We start from the raw sequence: 16,348 nt of genomic DNA, 5'->3' as shown, positions 1-16,348 counted from the left end.
GTGTAACAGCAGTTTATTGTCATCTTTCACAGAGATATTGAGCTGACCCATCTATGAACCAAACTGAAGCTTTATCCTCCTATTTTTTGTGGTCATAAAGAATCCTTTATGTGGACTGGGTGTGGTGGCTTACGCCTGTAATCTCAGCACTCAGGATCACCTGAGGTCAGGAGTTCGAGATCAGCCTGGCCAACACAGTGAAACTCCATCTGTAGTAAAAATACAAAAATTAGCCGGGTGTGGTGGTGCACACTTGTAATCCCAGCTACATGGGAGACTGAGGCAGGAGACTCAATTGAACCCAGGAGGCGAAGGTTACAGTGAGCAGAGATTGTGCCACTGCACTCCAGCCTGGGTGACACACCGAGACTCAGTCTCAAAAAAAAAAAAATAAAGAAAAGAAAAGAAAAGGCAAAGAAAAGAATCCTTTATGTGGCTAAAGCTCTATGTAAGCTGAGGAGAAAAAAGTGTGGGTGCAATACTGGTGAACTTTGGGGATCTGGGCTACCTCCTGGTGAGATACAAGCATGCCGTGTCCTCTGGCCCAGCTCATGCCTAATTCAGTAGGTACCACTTCTAACTTACAATTGCTTTCTCCTGGGCTTGCTTGATGTTATCATTTAGTGGGTCTGACAGTAGCCAACCCTGTACCCATAGCTGGTGGAATCAAGAACAGAGATTGCTTATTTTTTGTCAGCAAGACAAAATCAAGACTTTTCATTTTTTTTTTTAATGAGAGGGGAAGGAGATATTTTCTAAGAGACCAAGAGATTTTAGAGAGATCCATTGTATTCAGGAGCATAGGAGTTCATAAAAAGTGAAAGTAAAGCAATGAAAATGAAGAATGAAGAAAGAATTGAGGAAAGCAGCCACTCTACAATTCAGGGTATTCAGGATGTGACTGCTTCCCTTTTAACATTGTGGGCAATTCAAATGAACCCCATAAAACAAAGCTAATGAGAAGCTTTTAGGTTGCTAAGTTTTATTATTGCTGGTGTTCCTGTGGTATCTATCTATCTATCTATCTATCTATCTATCTATCTATCTATCTATCATCTAATCTATCTATATCTATTGTGTCAGGAAAGTTTACCAGCCTGGGTAACAGAGTAAGACTCCGTAAAAAAAATTTTTATTTTTTTGAGAGGGGGTCTCGCTCTATCACCCAGGCTGGAGTACAGTAGTACGATCATGGCTTACTGCAGCCTCAACCTCCCAAGCTCAAGCAATTTTGAAAATTTTACTTCAATTTTTGCAGAGACAGGGTTTTGCTGTGTTGGTCTCAAACTCATCTAGGCTCAAGTGATCCGCCCACCTTGGCCTCCCAAAGTGCTGGAATTACAGGTATGAGCTATGCCACCTGGCCCATAAAATTTTTTAAAAAATTACCCAAGCATGATGATGTGCACCTGTAGTCCCAGCTATTCAAGAGGCTAAGGCAGGAGGATTGCTTGAGTCCAGGAGTTTGAGGCTGCAGTGAGCTATTATCACTACAGAATAAGATTCTCTCAATCAATCAATCAATCAATCAATCAATAGTTTAGAAGCCAGGAGTTCAAAGAAAAGAGAGAAAGTTGTGATTTCTGGTGTTGTAAGAGACCTTGATTTGCTAATCATGACTTGCTGCAGGATAAAGACAAGCTTCTTCTCACCTGAAGAGATGGTCTTGGGAAAGAAAAAATGACATCTCTAGTTCTGTTAGCTGATGCCCATCCTCACATCCATATGCTTGAAACACACAGAAAACTGGGCCTTTTTTTTTCTGATTTACCATATTATTAAAGACAAGAATCCTTGCTTGTATCTTTGGTATCTCAAACTATATCAGTTTGATTCATAGAGAAATTAGTATAACTGTTCTCAGACTTCAGTGAACATATGAATCACCTAGGAGTATATTAAATTCCCGGAAACCACCTTCAGATGTTCAGATTCAGTGAATTTAATTTTGTCATTTTCAGCAGGAAAAGCACTTCAGGTCATTCTGCTAGAGATGCTTGGGAACAATACCTTGAAAAACATGAATCCAGTGGACCCATTTGAGGAGGTATCGGCCAAATGACGTTAATTCTTTGTGGAGTTCTTGGTCATTGTGATCACAGTGATAATAACTCTTAATGAAATGTATTCTGTGGTATATTTTAGTATCAGCATGCTTTTCAGGCAGTGGGAAATTTTCTCATCCAATTGACATAAAGAGTACATCCTATTGAATTTCCTTTTTCTCTGTTCACTAGATGAAAGACAGACATCAGCAGTGCAGAGAATTAATTGCAGACTTTTGTAATGATTCAGATAATACTTAGACGTCTTGATTTGAACTTTGGTTTCTCATTTAGGCCCGCTGTCAACTCTAAAGCCATTGTACCACTCCATAGCTTGGACTGCCGAGCAACTAACCATGAAGTATGAAGAGAATCTCAAAGCAGGTTTTCTTGAAAAATGAAATGTGAACGAAAACTTATCTATTCCATTTAGTCACTTCTTATTGATAGAGAAGTTTCCATCTGAATATCTGAATTAAACATTCATTAACAGATCTTTTGAAGTACTATGTGTTCATTGCCTTTACTTCTGGAGAGTTTCTAATTAAACAAAATTCCCTTCCTCCATTTCTCTCCTTCAAGGGCTGGTTTTTTGTTTTGTTTTCTGTTTGTTTTTTTTTTTAACCTACAGTAGGTGCCATGAAATTTAGCAGTTGGTAGTGCATTTCTTTGCTCTCTAGATATCATATAAGAAAAAGCATTGAAAGTGATACAGAAGGAGAGAACGGTGTGGTCCCTGGCTAGGACTCTAACCCAGGCCTGTGCCCACGGACCTAGGTGCGGCATTTTTATTTTCCTGCCCAAATGTTGCATCTCCCAAGACCACCGTGGCCTGCCATGCCCCTATCCCGTGCCTATAAAAATCCTGAGACCCTAGCAGGCAGACAAACTTTGAGAAGAGCACAACAGGGGAGGAACACACGGGTGGCTGGATGCCGAGAGGAATGCACTGACAGGCACCAGCAGGTCTGCAGGCCATCGACCTGGCAGAAGAGGCAGAGTTTGGCTGGGATGGTTGGAGGAGAACCCAGGCCGCTCAGTGTCCTGACTCCAGAGGAAAACCTTCCCGCTCCATCCCCCTCTGGCTTCCCCCATCTGCTCAGAAATACTTCCACTCAATAAAACCTTGTACTCATTCTCCAAGCTGAGGTGTGATTTGATTCTTCCGGTACACCAAGGCAAGAGCCCGGGATACAGAAAGCCCTCTGTCTTTGTGAAAAGGTAGAGGGTCTAATTGAGCTGGTTAACAAAAAGCCACCTATAGATGGCAAAACTAAAAGAGCACACAGTAGCACATGCTCAGTGGGACTTCAGGAGCTGTAAACATCCACCCCTAGACACTGCCCTGGGGTTGGAACCCCACAAGCTGGCATCTATATGGCTCTCCTAGAGGTTTGAACAGTGGGGCACTGAAGAAGCGAGCCACTCCCCCTGTCACACGCCCTGTGAGGGGGACAAGGGAACCTTTCCCATTTCAAAAGCACTTCAAAAAGTTAAAGCAGTATGCTCCTATAAAATGACCACGATCACATAGGGATGGCTAAATGATTGTCCCATTGCTACAGTATGGGTTACTGAGAAATAAGTGTCTGTCTTCTAATCTTGGTTCCCAGCCTATGCAAATAGAAGGAGCTTATTGACTTAGCAATATTTGATCACCATATGTAAATTTATTTATTTTTTGGTCCTGTCTCATGAATCTTACAAAATCAGTTCCTACTACTAATCATTTATTGTTCAAACACATCTGAACATGCCTGTAAAATAATTGGATGCTCTAAGATCAGGAAACTGTGAAACCTGGCCTCTCTTCCTTTTTTCTTTTTCCCCTTATAGAAATTGTATTTGACCCTGAGTACCCTTTTCTGATAAGCCTGAGTATGACTCCAAAATCCTTCTTAACACATACATCAGGATTTTCTGCCAGTCAGCTAGGGTTTCCTACCAATCAATCAGGACTCAGAGTGACATCTTTACCATCCTTCTCCTAGATACCAATTTTAGGTTTTAGGTTCATCTGGACTTCTGGGAAAGAAACTAGTTATGGCATCATAAAACCTGGGCATCTAGTCCTGACACTGCCATAAACAAGCTGTATTACCCCAGGCAAGTAAGTTAATATATTGGAACCTCCATTTTCTCATCCACCATGTAAGATATTTGAACCAGATGCTCTCTAAGGCACCTACTGCCAGTTGTGAGAATTTGTGATTTGGTAAATGGAAGCCAGACAATCACAACCTGGTTGGGCTCTTCGTAGTCATAAGAATCCAATAAAATATACTTCTTTTCCATTTGTCTACCAGAAAAAGATCATTTATGTCTAACATAACTGCTAGATGTTTGTCATGAGCTTGTGTTTGCAAATTCTTGATGATTCTTTAATTTTTATAGTCCTCTGTGAGGAGAGCAGTCACACTGCTTATAATGGAGGTAACTAAGCCTTGGACGCATACAGTATTTGGGAACAGTCTATGGTATAACTCAATTTTACAATAACCATTTCTGGGTCCCTCTGGAATGGCACTTTGAGGTAATAAATGTATCTATTCCTTAATTCTACTATGATAGCCATGCTCTAGCTCTCAAGCAAAAACTTGATGCCTTATCCCACTTCGAGAGGCTTTGGACAGTGATGTTATATGTCTGAATCATCAGGCTCCTACTATAGTAATAGGCCAGTCAACCCAGGATGCTGTGGTTATCAAAACCCCAGAAAGTTAGTTTTTCCGCGGTGTCTTGCTCTAGCCTTGAGCTCCAGGATGAGCTCCACAGTCCCATTAGGATCAGAGCCCAAAAGCCACCTGTGCCTCCTGGCGATTTCATCATCACCCCAAACAGATCTGCTGGTTACTATGAGCAGTATGCAATAGGGGGTGGGAGCATATGCAGTAGGGGGTGGGAAAACACCGTGTTAACTCTAAAGCAAAAGAATGGTGTTCTCTGAGAGAAGAGGAACATCCGGTAAACATGGCTGAAAATGACTTATGTCACGAAGACACATCCTGAGCAGTCAAATAGAAAGAAATGCAAATATTCCAAGATGTTTTGTAACTTCCTGATGAAAATGCAAGTAGAAACACAAACTTTTTTTTAAATCTATGATCAGTGTTCCCACCAACACTTAGGAAGATGGACTCATCTGAAGAAGCATCATTGTGTGCACATGTTTTCTTTCTGCCGCTGTTCACCTTCCCCTCCCATCATCATCTCCATCTCCTCCTCCTCCTCCTGATGGACTCATCTGAAGAAGCATCTGAAGAAAACATGAGTGCACATGTTTTCTTTCTGCTGCTGTTTACCTTCCACTCCCATCTCCTCCTCCTCCTCCTTTCTCTCTCTCTCTCTCTCTCTCTCTCTCTCTCTCTCTCACACACACACACACACACACACACACATACACACACACATACACATACTCCCCTCTATAACAACTTAAAGATTTTAAGTACAGGATGTTATCTCTGAGGACTTGAGCTTGGATCCAGTTGTTTTCTATAGTTTTCCAAAATGTTTCTTATCCTGGTGTTTTTCCAGTCTTAGAACAAAAAGAAAATCTATGACTCACTGCGAGGTCAAGAAATACTCAACATGACAGAGCTCTTTTTCTGTCTGTGCAGATTTCACTTTTGTGGTTGCAACCTTGTTGTTTGTGGATAGAAATCCTATTTATTTTGTATTTTACTGGAGATTTATTTATCCATATATTAAGTAGGTGTCAACAGTATACAAATCTTATCAGAGGCCTCACAATATACCTGGAAATTGTGTGGCCTCTGAGAATTTGCATAGTGTCCTCTGAAGTGTGACAAGAGTATTTAAAGGGTATTAGTTCTGCAGAAATCTAACACTGTTAAAAAAAAAAAAGAAGGAAATATGAGGACAGGCAGAAACATTTTTCCTGTAAAATAGTTTTTAAGGTCCCAATTTCTTTCTAGTCTATATATTTAAAATTTAAACTACCTGAACTTTCCAAAAATAAATTCACATAAAGTATAATTTCATGGATGAAGGAGTTAAGTGCCCAATAGAAGCTGCCCCTATGATTTCTTTTGTTAATGAACATGGCTTGTCATGATGACAGGTTATTATAATCATGAAAAATAGTAGATTTATAAGATATCTGTGAACGTTTTCTTTGGTTTAAGGTGAAATCAAAGTCTTCTGTGAAGTTCACAAAATGGACATCAGGAAAAATCACTAGTACCTAGATGCCCTTCATCAATATTTATTCTTGAATAGAAGTTAAACATTTTAAAATGGAAAGCAATATATCTTCTATCTTATTCTTAAACCCAAAGGGGACACAGCTAGGAGAGGTGTTCAAATCACTATTCAAAATCAGAAAGGGTCTGAAGACCTGCTGTGCCAGGCTAATCTTTTTATTGCTGGAAATTAAGGAGAGACTGGGGAAATCTGGGTTTGACACCTGGTAGTATGTGTTATTCAGTGCTCTGGGCAGCAGCTGTGTACGAACCATTATAGAAGAATGCTAGTATTTCAATAATGAGTAAGACCATGTTTACTGGGCACAATATGGGAGAGAAGTGGTCATAGCATCAATAACAACATTCTTCATTCGTCCCTCTTGGGAGTAAAGCAAAATGTAGAGATTGTGCAAGGTTGAAGCTTCTCATTCCCAGTCCTCAGCATTTTGTTTTCTCCTTGAAACTCCTGAGAGTGGAGGGCCTGGAAGATGCTCCTGGCTCGGTAGGTTTATGAGAGGGTGCTGATCTTGGAGCTGCTTTCTACGGGTTGTGCTGGTGCTCTGCCCACTGCAGGTCCCGGGAACACTGAGTTATGGCAGCCAATTCTGATGATGATAAATGATCACAGCACTTGGCCTTCAAGAAGAGACCAGAGCAACCAAACAGAAATGCATGTGTCTGAGCAGTTAGACTAATTCAGTTACAACTGCTGCCACTTTTGGTTTGCAAAAGGAGCTAAGAAATGTTATAGGCAAGCTAGAACTTGAATGGAAATGTTGATCTGGTTTCCTCATTCATAGGAAGAGCATCATGCAACTGAAGGACATTTCTCCATTATGACTAAACCAGGTGGATAATAACATCTATTTTTCAGTTTACAGACACATGTTGTTTTTACAATGCAACAAGTTAGATATTATTTAACAGTTAACCAAGTAGAACGTGGATGCAGACAAGCCTGGTGGTCATTGAGTTATTCAGGGCTTCTATTCATTCTAAGATGATTTTTGCTATACATGCTACTAGAATTCATTTTTCAGAGATCATACTCAACCTTTCTTTTTTTCTGATTTGATGGTTTGTGCTGTTACAAAATAAAAAATAGTGGTACCTTACCATTTGTAATTTTAAAAATTCGTATGAAAGATTATTAAATATAAATTACTTATAATTTGAGGGAAAGAGGGTTATCTTTGAGCTGGAGAGAAGAGCATATCTTTCAAGGAAAAGCTAAGTACCATTTATGTAGGAAAGTAATTTATATAGAAAAGATATCAACAATCATGTTTGGAGGGCATGGTAGATATATCCAAAACAATTTGTTTATTCTCTATCATCTGAAGAAATATTAACTAAAGTCCTTGGCTATTCTTTGATTATACTGAATGAAATAGCAGCTGCATTTGACCAGGAGTTAAGTATTTCAGACAGCATTATCTAAGTTTTTACAGCATGAGCTGAATAGTAGTGAATGAAGATGAATTTACTAAAAGTTTCTCTCCTAGGCAGGATAGAACTTGCTTGTTAGGCAGAAAAATTGTAGCAAATAGTAACAAATTGAAGAACACAGCTCTAGGGATTAAGGCAGTCAACGAAGAGATGGATCTTTGTTCTCGCTGACTTTTCTCTTAGGTTGTCACTTGCAGCTAGCTCTGTGCTGAACTGGACCAGACGATGCCTGTAGGGATGGAACCAAGTCATCCTGCTTAGAAAACCAGTCTCAGAGGTGGCTACATCTCTGCTTTCATAGTGGTTTTTAGTCCACCATCCTTGACCACACTAGGTCTTGTTGCTGCACGGCTTGTTTGCTGAATAGAGTATTTCATACACAACAATGTGTGGTGCTCTCTGGCCCCATCACAAAGTTGCCTTATATGCCTAGATGTCAACTGGAATCAGAAAGTCAGAAAAGACATCTTGAACAGGCTCTGTCTAGCACAGGAGTTCTCAGGAGGCATGAAAGGGCACACTCATGCTTATTTTTCTGCGACAGGGTTCTGGCTAATATACTCATCCATCATTTTCTTTTTCTGTGCACAGAATGAGGAGATACCTTTTTATTTGGTAAAGTCTATAATATTGAAAAGTTGTCACAGAGCACGGGCCCATCTGACAGTGAATCAATGGTGATTATGAAAGCACCTTAGCCATCTTATCTGACTATATGGTTAGGAATAAGAACATTTGATTCCTTGACCAGAAATTACCACCAACTCCAAAAATAGACATAAAGGATACACAGTTCTCCTAACAAGCAAAACATAGGTCTCTTGATTCTTCTTCTGATTTTTCATTCAGCTTCACAGTGATTTTAATTACTTCAGAGCACTGACCAATTACTTCAGAGCCCTGACCAAGTGATTTTAATTCCTTTAGAGCACTGACCAAGACAGCCAAACACTTAGAAGAAAACATAACTAAATGACAGGCCGTGAAAATAATAAGACATTTTTGAGGGATGTAGCAAAAACTAAACTGTAATAAAAGTGTCTGAAGAAGCAGAGCCTAGTAATTAAATGCAAAATGAGTGAAGCAAAAGCAAAAAGAGATTTTGGGTCATCATTTCTGACTTAAGAATGATGGATAACCAGTCACCCACCAGTAGTAGGCTGGTTGTTCACCCCCAAATCTGCCCCCCACCCCAACACCACTACCCACATCCTAAAACCTGGAGCCTGTGAATATTACTTTATTGGCCAAAAAGGACTTTGAAGATGTGGCAAAGGATCCTGAAATAGGAAGATTATCCTGCATTATCCTGGTGAGCCCTAAATGCAGTCATACGTGTCTTATAAAAGGGATGCAAATGCCAGAGAAGAGGAGAAAGCGTTATGACTATGGAGGAGGAGATGGGAATGATACGACCACAAGTCAAGGAATGCCAGCAGCCAGCAGAATCTGTTAGACACAAGGGACAGATTCTGTCCGAGAGCCTCCAGAGGGTGCTGCCAACACCTTGATTTCAGCCGCCAAATACTGATTTTGAGTTTCTGGCCTCCAGAACTGTGGGAGAAAAAATTTCTATTGTTTTAAGACACCAAGTTTTGATAATTTGGTATAGCAATCTCAGGAAACTAATGGTTTCCTTATACAAACCATTCTTTTTCCTTTATAGAAACCAAACCATTTCCTTTCATTCTGTTATCTGTTACACCATCAATGAATCAGCCAAAATAGGCAATAGGCACTACAGATAACACAGTCAGCAGGCGTTTTTTTTTTTTTTCCTGGTTTATGATAATCTTCATAAAAGACCTGCCAGACACCACTCAAGAAATTTCCAAATGGCTTTCAATCTTTTGGTCTCTGTTCCTTCTGGTTTTTTTTTTTTTTTTTTTTCCAGAGTATTAACTTCATTTAGCAGTTACAGCTGTTGACCTGAAAGTCCTTATCAGCAGCATAGCAGATGAGTGAGAACAAGAGTTATGGGTCCTGAATCTATAGGGAAGCCAAATCAAACACAGCTAGAAAAATGCCTCCACTGTGAGTAAAGACAACATATCTTCTTTCACATGTTGTACTAAGGATCAGGAGAGCTGAAATCTCATGTTGATTTCTGATGATTACCTTTGTCTTCTTGAGCAAATGACTTAGTTTCTCTAGGTCTTAGGGTCCTCATCTGTAAAATGAATCAATAAGATACACTGTGAAATTCCTTGAACCCTTAACATTCTATGAATTTATCCAGCCCTGAGTTGAAATTAAAATTTATAACAAGCTCAGCTTTATGGACAGAGTTTGTGGTCACCTCTATGGGTATCAGATATCTCATCATCCTAATCACAAATACCAGAAATTTCACCCATAGAAATGACACAGAGAGAAAGAAAGAGAATATATGTATATATATTCTTCTGTTCATTTAAAAACTTCTGGGTAAAATGACGTAACACATTAGAGTAAATTAACTTATCAATCTTTACTATAGATGTTTTCATTCTGTTATTGTTATAGACACATTACACTAGAACTATTAGCTTATATGTCTGTCTATCCCACTAAACAACAACCTTTCTGAGAGAAGGGACTAGATCTTATATACCACTGAATCCTCATGACCAAGTACTTAAATGCTGGTACAAAGCAAGTGCTTAGTAAATATTTGTTGTATAGATGCATGGCCAGCTGGGTGACTTCTCTCCCATGATAGGATATCAGAAGAGAAGTGGGCAGTAGAATGGCTGAGAAGGTCCCAGGAAGGGGAGCACAAAAACCAAAAACCAAAAACATCATCTACATCTCTTAGCTGTGATGGACAATACAGTTCCCAAATCACCTATCCCAGACTTTTCTCATAGCTTAAAACCTTCATCATGTTTCCTTGGAGAGAAAATTGGGTGCTCTTCATCAGAGGTTTGGTTTCTTTTTAAAACATTCTTTATCTCTCTGAAGCACCATTAGACTGTTAATTGAAATAAAAGAGACTTAATTTGTAACTGGGACTTGTGAAGTGGTAATTAGAAACATATGCTATATTGCATTTGAATGCTTTCCTTATTATTAGCATGTCTATTGATTCTTTTTAAACCACTCCGTTCAGTTGAATTTCAGTAGATGAATTTCAGGTATTTTTCCATTGAAAATGACAGTGAAGAAAATTGCCAAGCAATGAGACATTAAGCAAAGAAATGAGTATTTGGCTGGGCTATTTTTCATGATGTTTGCTATTTTTAAAATAATTAATACAGCTTGTAAGGAAAAAACTATGGTGAGTTATGCCCCACTCTACCTGCAAAATTAGTCTAAAAACACAATGTTATCAAGAGTGGGACTGAACTTGATTTGTAATAGATTACTCTTTAACACTTATGGCTTAAAAAAAATCAGAGAGTTCTTAATTTATAGCATCTTTAGGAAAGGGTGCTGATACTAAATTAAAAATATTCCACTCAGTTAGGTGACTCTGTGTTTAAAATCTCTTCTGTTACTAGGAACCAAGATATTTACAATGTTTTGTTTCTTTTTAGGCTGACTTGGGTACTAATATTGAGAGATATGGGACCTTTTTCCACATCCTTCTCAGACAAGCCATTCAAATCACTACAGTTATACTGTAAGGTACTTTCTATTACACTCTGGTACATTGTTATCTATAAAATATATACTCAAATAAATGAGTGACAAATACTCATCTTCATTACATAATTAAACTGGACATACTTTAGCTAATAAATAAGATTTCTCTTCGAAAACTAACTTTCTATCTCTGTTAAATCTAATCCCTGAGAAAGTTGGACCCTTAGCAACTGGTCTGTGGGTGCAAATAAGATCAAATCTAAACTACTCCTTCCTCCGCAGTCCCTGGCCCCCTTTTCCTTGTATTAGATGTCTTCGTTCACTGCCCAGAACTTCTGTTTTACCTCTAGTCTCCATGTGCCTCTTCCTGAATCATCTTCATAGTTCTCTGCTCTTCACCCTTCAATTGCTTTCTCTCTCCTTGCCTGTTTCTTAGGAAATGATATCACTCTCTGGCTTCACCAACCACAAACTAGAGTGTGTCTGATTAGTAGCAGACACTAGAGTAGTCTGCTACTAGTTAAGATCTGGCTCATTATGAAATGATTATTCCACAAGATCTATATCAATAGTGAAAATAATACACTTTTAAAACCCTTATCATTGGGCTGAGTTTTTGAACATCAGCCAGCGATAGCAGAATGTGAACATAGCTGCATGCAGAGTTAGATGAAGAGTGGCATGCAGTTCCTGAGTTCTCTTTATCCAAGTCACCATTTTTGGATGAGGTCTCAAAAGAATTGGGAGATCCTGGACAAAGTTCCCTACGGAACTGAGATTCTCTGAGGAGAGTTCTCATAATCAGAATCATAGGGGAATTTATGACATTATCATTCACATTTACTCCTTCACTAAACCCCTCCTCACCATCCCCACTCACTTCAAAACAAAACAACCACTAGGCGTGATCTCCCCAAACAGTGTAACAATGTTGTCTTTCAAGACTTAGTTTCTGTCACAGGATGGAAAGTGTCATTGTGGTGCTGACAAGGACACACTTTCCCTGGAAGACACACAGAAGAAATAGAAGAATATAGTGGCTTGGCTCTGGGAATTCAGAATTCAGAAGGATTCCTTTTCCTCCAGAGTAAACCAAGAGCAAATCAAATTGCTTGGTGTCCCTTCAGCTCTCTCATTTTCTTTTCGCATATTTGAAGTGCTTACCTGGCCTTGCTTCTAAATTCCACCGCTGTTCCAGATTCGCTGGATTACTTCCTGTTTGGTTGTTCGGTGTTATCTTCCTTTATACAAATCAGTAGTCTGAAAGTCATAAGCATAGTTTAAAAAATAAAAGAGCAGACATAACTAAATGAGACAGTGAGACTTGTGCAAATTTAATATCCAGGTCAAACTGAATTCACCCAACAAAAGGAACAATAATTTATTTTGTTGTACCCAGTTACCTCCAAACAGATTTTGATTATGTTGATTGCTGAGGATACATGACGAAGAAAAACAGCTGGAACTGGCGGTCATAAATCTTAGGTTCTTGTTCTGGGTTTGCTGCTAACAGGCTTTGTGACCACAGGCAAATCACTTAACTTCTCCGTGCCTTTTCTATGTGTTACCCCATCTGTAAAACATAAATAACAGTGCTTGCCCTAACCTGACTTCTATGACCCCTTTAATACAGCTCATGTTACTAAAATAATTAATCCAGCTTGTGAGGAAAAAAATATGTTGAGTTATGCCCCACTCTACCCGCAAAATTAATCTAAAAACACAAAATATATAAACTAAATAAAAAATAAGATGTACCATAGTGAGTTAGCCTAATCCGACTCTCTTCCTTGTTCCTTTATATCAGGATGAAGTCACAGAGTGACTTTAGGTAACTAACCTAAAGTTACCTAAGATTTAGGTAACTAACCTGACACTGTGAAAGTCTTTCTAAAAGGCTGTCTTATTTAGGAAGAAGCTGAAATTAAAAAGACAAACAAATGGCTCTTTCTCTCAGGCGTCACTTTCCTTGGGAGTAAAATTAACCCAGCATCCTAACCACTGACTGATGTGGCTATGGTATTACGTGTTAGTGAGAGGAGTGGGAGGGACACACAGGAAATGAAGAGGATGACTATGATTTGAGCTGTTTGCAGAGTCAGTCTCCTTTGGGGTCAATGGTGGGGGCAGCATGTAATAAATCTTCTGAGATGGGTGCCTGAGACCTTGTTACTGGAAAGGACTGTTTGACTAGCCACCATTCTTTCCCCTCTCCCCGCTACCCCCGAGATGGAGTCTTGCTCTGTCACCCAGGCTGGAGTGCAGTGGCGCAGTCCCAGCACACTGCAACCTCCATCTCCCAGGTTCAAGCAATTCTCCTGCCTCAGCCTCCTGAGTTGCTGGGATTACAGGCGCCCACCATCCTGCCCGGCTAATTTTTGTATTTTTAGTAGAGACGGGGTTTCACTATGCTGGCCAGGCTGCTCTCAAACTCCTAACCTCGTGATCCACCCATTTCGGCTTCCCAAAGTGCTGTGATTACAGGCGTGAGCCACCGCACCTGGCCCATTGTTTTATATGTTACACATTCACTTTCATTGAAGAGTATGGAAATTATTTATGTCCTCTCCCTTGTGTATGTGTCAGACTTGCCAAAGGAAGTGCCTGGATGTTCTTAATTTCTAAAAGGTTTTAGAAAGGAAAAGGCAGAAAGCTTAGTCAATAAAGGCTCACAAAAGACAGGCTTGGGATCCCACTGCATGTCTTTCCCCACTAAAAATATAAATGGGCGTATCTGATCCGTAGGTGCTCTAATTTCTAAATACCCAACCTACAGTCTGCAACTTAGTCAAAGATAAGTATGATTTGCTAAATTATATACTTAAAACCAGCCAAAGTGGCAACGTTTTCCCTGTCAGATTAAGAAAGTTTAATTAACTTGTCTGTTACGTAGATAGCAAGGATTGGGGTCAGAATTTGAATGCAGCTCTCTCTGACAGTCAAACTGGCAAAGCTAGTAAGTTTTTCACTTCTCCACCCCGAGGTGATAGCTGTGGATCACATCCCTAGTACTTATTTTAGTCTGAAAGGGTTTGAAGTGATTTAGAAGTGGAAGGAGGAGTACCTCATTTCCGATTGCATTTGTGAACTTTCTTCTCACGCACAGATTGTGAAACCCTTGCTGCTGTTGTCATTACTGACACTCATTTGCAACATATGGGTTCACTGGGCTTTCACTGATGGAGCTCTGGCTGCTTTTGTTGACTGGTAGGTGGAAATTCGTCATGGGGACCCTTGGAAAGTGAGCAAGGAAAATACCATGCAGGAAAATGTTGTCACCTGAAAAAGTTACTCAATTTACAGAGTATGAATGTGCTTTCTTAAGAACTCCCGGGTCTTAAAGAAGTTTTTAATACTTTTACTCAACACACACTTATATAGCCCTTACTATGGGCTGACAGTGTTAGTGCTTAACAATTATTAACTCATCCAATTTTCATGAAAACTTGATGGGGCAAATACTATTATCATCTCCGTTTTGTAGATGAGAGAGCTGCGGCATACAGAGATTTAGTAATTTTTGCCCAAAGTCACAAATACAATTTATGGCAAATCTAGGATTCAAATCCAGGTATTTCTGCTCTAAACTCCATGCTCTTGAGCATTCTGCTATACTGCTTCCAGAAGACAGTTGGTGCAGATGTGATGTAAACAAAAATTCAGTAAAGTGAATACTAAGTAGTATGAGCCTGAATATTTTCTCCTTTGGTTTTTAGGTTTTTATTAGCTTCCCATGTAAAAATATCTTTAAAGCATTGAAGTTAGGAGTTTGACATCTAACATACACTTATTTTAAAAGAAATGGAAATAATTTTCAATTAGTGAGGACGCCTTAGAGGACTTGGCCCTCCATGTGTACTTGCTGGGACCAACTCTACTTCACTGTGCACTGGAGGATGGAGGCAGCCCATTGCTTGTTCATGTGTATCCAGGAGTAGCACGTGCTTGGGATATGGTGGGCCTTCAAGGTTGAATGAATGAATGCCAAACCTTATCCTGCCTTCTGGTGATGGGGGCTTGACTCAAGTGCTGAGAGAAGACATTTTCTCCTTCCTACCTTCAGTGGACCTTGAGATACATTCCTTAGTCTCCCTGAAGAGATTCCATTCTCTGTTCCCTTGGGACTTTTCTATTTCAGCCCTACTTCTTTAAGCCTTTTCCTTCTTGTTAAATCTTCTGTTTTCACCACTGTTTTATTGTTTAATATATATCTTAGTTAACTAATATTTATTGAGCAATTATTACACGCAAACTCTCTATTGATGGTTTCATTTTAACCATCATAAAATTGTGGCAAACTCTTAAGTCAATGCAACTTCTGTCATGTGCAAACAACTGCATGACCTTCATGTGTCCCATGAACCTCCTAATAGGAGGCTGCATCAGTTTCCTGTGGCTGCTGTAACAAATTACATCCAACTTGGCATAACAAACACAGATTTATTTTCTTACATTTCCAGAGGCCAGAAGTCTGAAATCAGTTGCACTAGGCTAAAATGAAGGTACAGGCGGGTCTGGAGACTCTGAGGGGTGAATCCTTTCCTCGGCTTTTCTGGCTTCTGGGGCCACCCACAATCCTTGACTTATGACCCTATCCTTACATTACTCCAACCTCTTGCTTTTTTTAGTCACATCCCCTCCTTCCTCTTCTGTGGTGAAATCTTCTTCTGCCTCCATCTTTTAAGGAAACTTGTGATTACTTGTAGGGCCCACCTGGCTAATTCAGGCTAACATCCCAGTCTCAAGATCCTTAACTTAGGCACACCTTCAAAGTCTCTTTTGCCATATAAGGCAATTGTAATGGTTAGTTTTTGTGTTAACTTGACTGGGCCATGGATTGCCAAGATATCTGGCTAAACATTATCCTGGGTATGTCGGTGAGGGTTTTTCAAGATGAGAATAACATATGAATCGGTAGACCAAGTAAAGCAGACTGCCCTCTCCGGTGTGAGTGGGTCTCAACCAATCCCTCGAGAGCCTGAATAGAATAAAAGGTGCAGTAAGGGAGAATTCAATCTCTTTGCCTGACTGTCTTCAAGCTGGGACATTGGTCTTTTCCTCCCTTCAGACTCAGATTGG

At 39.7% G+C, this 16,348-nt stretch overlaps 1 long non-coding RNA gene across 1 annotated transcript in view, besides 1 other annotated feature; it reads right to left on the bottom strand.

Moving 5' to 3' along the window:
* Window positions 1-6,543: 6,543 nt before the first annotated feature.
* LOC130890646 (uncharacterized) overlaps window positions 6,544-16,348 on the bottom strand; it is a 44,949-nt gene continuing 35,144 nt past the window's right edge. Inside the window, exons 2-4 of the long non-coding RNA NR_186703.1 lie at window positions 12,673-12,842; window positions 12,434-12,529; window positions 6,544-9,872 (exon numbers count right to left, since the gene is read on the bottom strand). This is a non-coding gene — a long non-coding RNA (uncharacterized LOC130890646). The remainder of the gene's footprint in view (window positions 9,873-12,433; window positions 12,530-12,672; window positions 12,843-16,348) is intronic.
* Window positions 12,800-13,999: an enhancer, noted in NCBI's record as "MED14-independent group 3 enhancer chr7:93689611-93690810 (GRCh37/hg19 assembly coordinates)". NCBI's record gives its function as "activates an origin of replication core promoter dependent on BRD2, BRD4, P300/CBP and CDK7 cofactors, and independent of MED14, by STARR-seq in HCT116 cells {active_cell/tissue: HCT116}" and the evidence as "EXISTENCE:reporter gene assay evidence [ECO:0000049][PMID:35650434]".

Source organism: Homo sapiens, chromosome 7 (genome assembly GCF_000001405.40).
Source record: "Homo sapiens chromosome 7, GRCh38.p14 Primary Assembly".
In the NCBI taxonomy this organism is placed as follows: domain Eukaryota; kingdom Metazoa; phylum Chordata; class Mammalia; order Primates; family Hominidae; genus Homo; species Homo sapiens.
Note: the sequence above shows the minus strand (reverse complement) of the source record. Positions and strands in the feature narration are given on the sequence as shown.